The 6,390-nt window shown below is 47.5% G+C and overlaps 1 annotated feature.

Moving 5' to 3' along the window:
- Positions 359-873: an enhancer, noted in NCBI's record as "H3K4me1 hESC enhancer chr18:76707071-76707585 (GRCh37/hg19 assembly coordinates)". NCBI's record gives its function as "activates a minimal SCP1, AML or CMV promoter by ChIP-STARR-seq in naive H9 embryonic stem cells {active_cell/tissue: H9 hESC(naive)}" and the evidence as "EXISTENCE:reporter gene assay evidence [ECO:0000049][PMID:30033119]".

The following is a 6,390-nucleotide window of genomic DNA, read 5'->3' as shown; positions in this document are numbered from 1 at the left end:
TCTTTTCATCATCGGCGTGCGTGGAGATTACAGGAGTGGTGGAGGAACCATTTATTATTATTTTCTGTTTCATAATTCAACCTCATACTGCAAGGGAAGGAGACAGGGTTTTTATAGGTGGCACTGAGTTTAGTGTTTTTCCTATAAAATAATTTCCACAAGTTTAGCTTCAGGCTCTCATTCTGATATAGGAGCCCTGATTCAGAATTCATTTTTTGGACATCCATAAAATGCACAATCCTCTGACTGACGAAACCCTCTCGGCGTGATTGCGGCCGCACCGTGCTGCTGGCTGCCCTGCCTGGCCAGCTCCCTTCTCTGCCCACCGTCTCCTTCGCGCCTGTCCCTCCACTGTCAGCTCAGGCGTTCATTCTTTATAGAAGCGCCCCTGCCTCTGTGGCTACCTGTGTCCCAGCAGCAGGTGTGTGTCTCAGCCCCCCGGCGTCCGCAGGTGGGGGGTAGGTGGTCGCTTCTCACCAGGCCCCAGCAACCTCAGGGCAGGGGTGGCACTTGTTCACTTCTGTGTCCTCCACACTCGCACACAGGAGGAGCTGTGGTGGCCACTGCTGCTGTGGGGTAACACATGCTACCATGTCCCTGGCACACAGGACTGTCTGACTGTGAGAAATGGCAGCTCCTCCTCCTCCTCTCTTCTCTTCCTCCCTCCTCCATCCTCTTCCTCTCTTCTCCTCCTCCCTCCTCCATTCTCTTCCTCCCTCCTCCTTACTCCTCCCTCCTCCATCCTCTTCTTCCCTCTTCCTCCTTCCTCTGTCCTCTTCTTCCCTCCTCCTTCCTCCCCCTCCTCCTCCCTCCTCCTCCCTCCATCCTCTTCCTCTCTCCTCCTTCTCCCTCCTCCTCCTTCCTCTTCCTCCATCCTCCTCCCTTTTCCTCCTCCCTCCCTCGCCCTCCCTCCCCTCGTCCCTCCTCCTTCCTCCCTCCCCCTCTTCCCTCCTCCTCCTCCCTCCTCTTCCTCCCTTTTCCTCCTCTCTCCCTTTCCCTCTTCCTCCCTCCCCCTCCTCCCTCATCTTTCACCATCCTCCTCCTCCTCCCTTTTCCTCTTCTCTCCTCCTCCCTCCCCCACCTCCCTCCTCCTCTCCCCTTCTCCTCCTTCCTCCTCTCTCCTCCTCCTCCCTTCCTTTCCCCTCTTCTCCCTCTTTTTCTGTAAATCCGCTCCGAAAACTGATCAGTAATGACAAGGATCAAGCTGCAGGTACAAGATTCACGTATTTATGTATTTTTCCCAATTTAGTCTCTTCCCAAGGTCATCTTTGATTCTACTTTTTAAAGTAGATGGCTAAACTTTTAGGAAATTAGAGAAAAAGTACAGCTATTTTAAATTTGTTTTAATCTAATGATAATGGAGTGGTCTAATTTCTTTTCTTTAAAATGTGCTCTTAAAGCTCATCCAATTTTTCTTAAGTTCCTCAGTGTTTATGGTGATGATCCCTTTAGAAAACTCGAACTGGCCTGATCTTTGAATTCCTTGACCAAATGAGCAAAAATGCTGGCTTTTGTGATAAAAGCAACAGTAGCCAGTGATAAGGCACAAGCCAGTTCACTTACAAACACGAATTCCCTACATACCACCAGAGAGGGCTACGGGGGAGACAAGCTTCACTGAAGATCATGGGAGACTTCCTTGCTGAAATTCCACATCATTTCTTCAAGAATCATTGACCTCACAAAGAACAAAACACAAACAAAAAACCCTCCAAATATAAAGTTGAAGACAATATAGTTGTTTTCTTTATTTTTATTGCCATGTAAGAAAGACATGGTAAGTGGGAAAACCAATGAATGATTTTGGCATATTCCACATAATACAAAAGTAGTAAATTTATGCTCTCACAATGAACATACAAAAGAAATGAGAAGAAAATAAAATATAAGGAATGTTTAGACTCAATAATGCAAAACGGCTTAGGAGTGATTCTATTTGTTAGTCCTCTGATCTAGCATTTATAAGTGCAAATATTTTCACACAGTCAGATTTGCGTCTCTCCCCTCATTATTACTTCAGGGAATGATGTAAATGACGGCATCTGAAGTAATCAGAAATCTTCTTTCTCTTCACGGTGCACGTTGTTCACATATAAATGACTCACATCAACTCAGGCATAGTCCTTAGCATAGAGCGCTGGCCTGTTTTATGTAGACACGCGTTTCTCTGTTTTTCCTCACAGCTAGATTCTTGCTTTGACGGTGATGACTTCTGCACTAAGATGAAAGATGGATTGACTCCTGGCTCCATGTTAGGCCAGCCTGGACATTGTTCTGGGGTTTTGGTTCAATTTGAGTCATTAAAGGAAAAAAATCCTCTGCAGCAATGTTATTATGTGATAACAGAAATACTTGTAATAACTAGATAATTTTAAGAACCTAAGTTCATCCGTCTGTTAATCTCAGCTGTGATTAAGGAGGCAACCCTAAAGCCCATTATTCCTAATGACAAGACCAAGCAGGCTTAAAGCATTAGCCGGCGGAGGCCACAGAGACGGATGCTGAAGGGTATCAGCAGTCCCGGCCACAATTGAGGGATTGGTCCGTCCTCCATACAACAAAAGTGATACAAAAGAATGACACCCTCGCTAGAGTCCATTTCCTCGTATAATCACACAAAATGATTTTTCTTAAATATGATAATAAATCACAGCAAAAAATCAATGTGGCAGGGCCCAACTGCTGTGGCCTGATAACGCATCAATCAATATTTAGTATTTAGATTTTAATTAATACATAGCTGTGCAGAGGCTTTTTAAGAGAGAAATATTATCTTAGATAAAAATTCCGGCACTGTTAGCATGCAAAAGTTGTTGCTCATATCTGTCATTGATCAATCCACTGGAGTTGTGATTAAAAACCCTTGAAAATATCAGACAAGAGGGTGAAAGAGATTGAACCAAAAAAAAAAAAAAAAAAGAACGTCACAGGCCTGTTTGCCTAGAAAATGGCTCGAGATGCTGGAGAGTCGGCACGGCCGCTGCAGCCTGTCAGGCAAGAGAGTCTGTTTCACACAGATGGATACGGAATTTAGGAGCTGGTGGAGATGTAGCCTGAGGCCTGTGTCACTGGGTCAGAACCAGAGAATTCTAAATGCATAACCCCGATTCCCTCCATCCCTTCCTCCCGTCTTATTAGATATAGTTTTGGAAGAAAGTTTTCCCTTGATGAGAAAGTATTTAAAAATAATTTTATTTTATTTTATTTTTTTAGTAGAGATGGGGTTTCAGCATGTTAGCCAGGCTGGTCTAGAACTCCTGGCCTCAAGTGATCCGCCCACCTTGGCCTCCCAAAGTGCTGAAGTTACAGGTGTGAAACACTGCACCTGGCTAAAAATAATGTTCCTGTTGGGAGATCCACATCTCTTCAGGGATGCTCTTAATTTCTTGCATTTCCTTTGACATATGAATACATGGGCTATTCAAATTGAAACTGCAAATAGGTGGGCTGAGATTTCCCTTTCCAAATCTCGAGGAGGACCGTGCGTTCCCTCGATGAGGTTCGCACACTGTCTTCCTTGCTGCTCAGCCGGCCCCTCTCCCTTACTGCCCATCACCTCATATCTTAGTTCCCACGACCTTATGTGAACCAGGAGTTTACAAAACCAATCCCCAGGGAAATGACTCTTCTTTTGGTGTCCCCAACCTTTGATATTTACCAGGTGTTTTATCAAGTAGAAAATGTTTCTTTGCTCTTTCGGGTCAGGTGACACAATCAAAGACAAGCAGTGAAGACGGAACGCCCGTTTTTGAAGCTTCTTGGGAAGAGGGTGTAAGACAATGATGCTAAGTCCTTTTGGGAATATCTGGTGCTTCTTATGGTTTTCTTTTAAATTAGTTCCCTTGCTGGGTCTTCTCCTTTCTCTGTTGATTTTACCTTTTAGTGTCCTCTTTCCCGCTCACATAGAGAGTGAGCTGCAGCCTCTGGCAGAATCGCTAAGTCTACTGTTCTTTAGGATGACCTCCCGATGCAGCAAACCCAAGGTCAAGGGGAAATTCACCCACGTAGGCCAGGTTGGATGGGTCTAGAGAGGAGAGCGAGCTCTCCAAGCTTCTTTCCCTGATGTCTTCTTGAAGGCGTGCTGGATTCCTCCTTCCGTATCTTCACATCGCGTGTGACTTGGTGCAAAACTCAGTGGGTGCCCACTTGGGAAAGAGGGCTGCTTTCTGGTGGCCCACGCTGTCCGTGTCCCCTGGCTGTCATGGCAAACAGAAGAAGGAAAAGGCGTTTCAAGGCCATTGAGTCGATGCCAGGAGGATTTTCCAAGCAGGGTTCTTATCTAGGAGGATGTGAATTGAGGATTTTGGCAAAAACAGAAACCTCAGAAGGTTGAAGTGATTTGTTCTCAGTGGAAGAGAAGGAAAGTTTCTCCAGAGCCTGTGCTAATGTTGAGGCAAAGAGTTAAACAAACAGAAGCAAGAAAAAGCACTTAGGAACTCCTGCAGAACCCTGGAGACATGGCACGACGTGCCTACATTTCCAGGTCGTTTCCCATCATTGGGAACCCTGAGAGGCCCTTGGTTGTGGCCAATGGTCATGAAAAGTGACAACAAATTGGTTTCTGAGAGTCAAAGGACAGTAGGATTATTGGGTAATGGGGGTCCCTGGTGGAATGTGGGTTCAGGGAAGGTGGCGTCGATCCACCAGGCTTCTTCACCAAAGTTCCAAGTGGAATGTTCCAAGCTGGGGAATGTAGCCAGAGGAGCACCATGGAGGAGCCGGGAAATGCCTGGGTTTATAGGTACTGCAGAACTGCAGGATCAAAGGTTTACCTTCTCCCCTAACCATTCCGCCTCCAGGACTTTCTCCTGTGGAAATAATCAGATAAGCACAGACATTTGTGTATGAAGAGACTCCCTGCAGTAAAGCAACAACAGAAACAACCCTCACCATGCGACAACTAATTACTCCGCCGTGGAGGAGTGCTTCGTGTGAGGCACTGTGTAAAATACAGTCTGTAGAACACAGACTGTAAAATACAGTTGCCGAGGTCATCATGTTCAGAAGAATCCTCAGTGACACTGGGGGAAATCTCAATTCTGTGAAAGAAACAGCGACAGTGCCTGGAAAATTAAAAAAAAATTCATACGTGTTTTTGGGACATGTCCTCACGTTTCATTTGAAGCAGAAAGGGAGAACTCAGGTTTGCAGGCTGTGATTAGGGTCGATTCTCTGCTATCCCCGAGCTCAGGTTTGCAGGCTGTGGTTAGAGTCGATTCCTGCTATCCCCGAGCTCAGGTTTGCAGGCTGTGGTTGGGGCGGATTCTCCGCTATCCCCGAGCTCAGGTTTGCAGGCTGTGGTTAGAGTGGATTCTCCGCTATCCCCGAGCTCAGGTTTGCAGGCTGTGGTTAGGGTCGATTCCTGCTATCCCCGAGCTCAGGTTTGCAGGCTGTGGTTAGGGTCGATTCCTGCTATCCCCGAGCTCAGGTTTGCAGGCTGTGGTTGGGGTGGATTCTCCGCTATCCCCGAACTCAGGTTTGCAGGCTGTGGTTGGGGTAGATTCTCCGCTATCCCCGAACTCAGGTTTGCAGGCTGTGGTTGGGGTCGATTCCTGCTATCCCCGAGCTCAGGTTTGCAGGCTGTGGTTAGAGCGGATTCTCCGCTATCCCCGAGCTCAGGTTTGCAGGCTGTGGTTGGGGCTGATTCTCCGCTATCCCCAAGCTCAGGTTTGCAGGCTGTGGTTGGGGTGGATTCTCTGCTATCCCCGAACTCAGGTTTGCAGGCTGTGGTTGGGGTGGATTCTCCGCTATCCCCGAGCTCAGGTTTGCAGGCTGTGGTTGGGGTCGACTCCTGCTATCCCCGAGCTCAGGTTTGCAGGCTGTGGTTAGAGTGGATTCTCTGCTATCCCTTAGCCCTTCAGTGGAACTCTGCTGGTTTCAATCCTAATTCAGAAAAAGCTATATTTACCAAGCCTACGCCTGCATTTGGCAAACACCGAGTTCCTTGATTTTTGTTTTCCTCCATTTCCCCTTTTTTCACGGGATGTAGCATCATCTTTCAGGCTAATTGAGCCCAAACCTGGTCTCTTGTTAATGTCAAGTGGTTGCCCTAAAATGCTTCCCCCAACCCCAAGATCTTTAGGAGCTGGCCTCCTTCAGCCCTACAGATTAGACCAGAGTTTCTAAAGCACCCGTATTAGTCTGTTCTCACACTGCTATAAAGAAACATCTGGGCCGGGCGTGGTGGCTCACGCCTGTAATCCCAGCACTTTGGGAGGCCGAGGCGGGTGGGTCACGAGGTCAGGAGATCGAGACCATCCTGGCTAACACGGTGAAATCCCATCTCTACAAAAAAATTAGCCTGGTGTGGTGGCGGGCGCCTGTCGTCCCAGCTACTCGGGAGGCTGAGGCAGGAGAATGGCGTGAACCCGGGAGGCGGAGCTTGCAGTG

Source organism: Homo sapiens, chromosome 18, assembly GCF_000001405.40.
Source record: "Homo sapiens chromosome 18, GRCh38.p14 Primary Assembly".
Taxonomy (NCBI): Eukaryota; Metazoa; Chordata; class Mammalia; order Primates; family Hominidae; genus Homo; species Homo sapiens.
The sequence above is the reverse complement of the archived record's forward strand: the minus strand, read 5'-3'. Positions and strand labels throughout refer to the sequence as shown.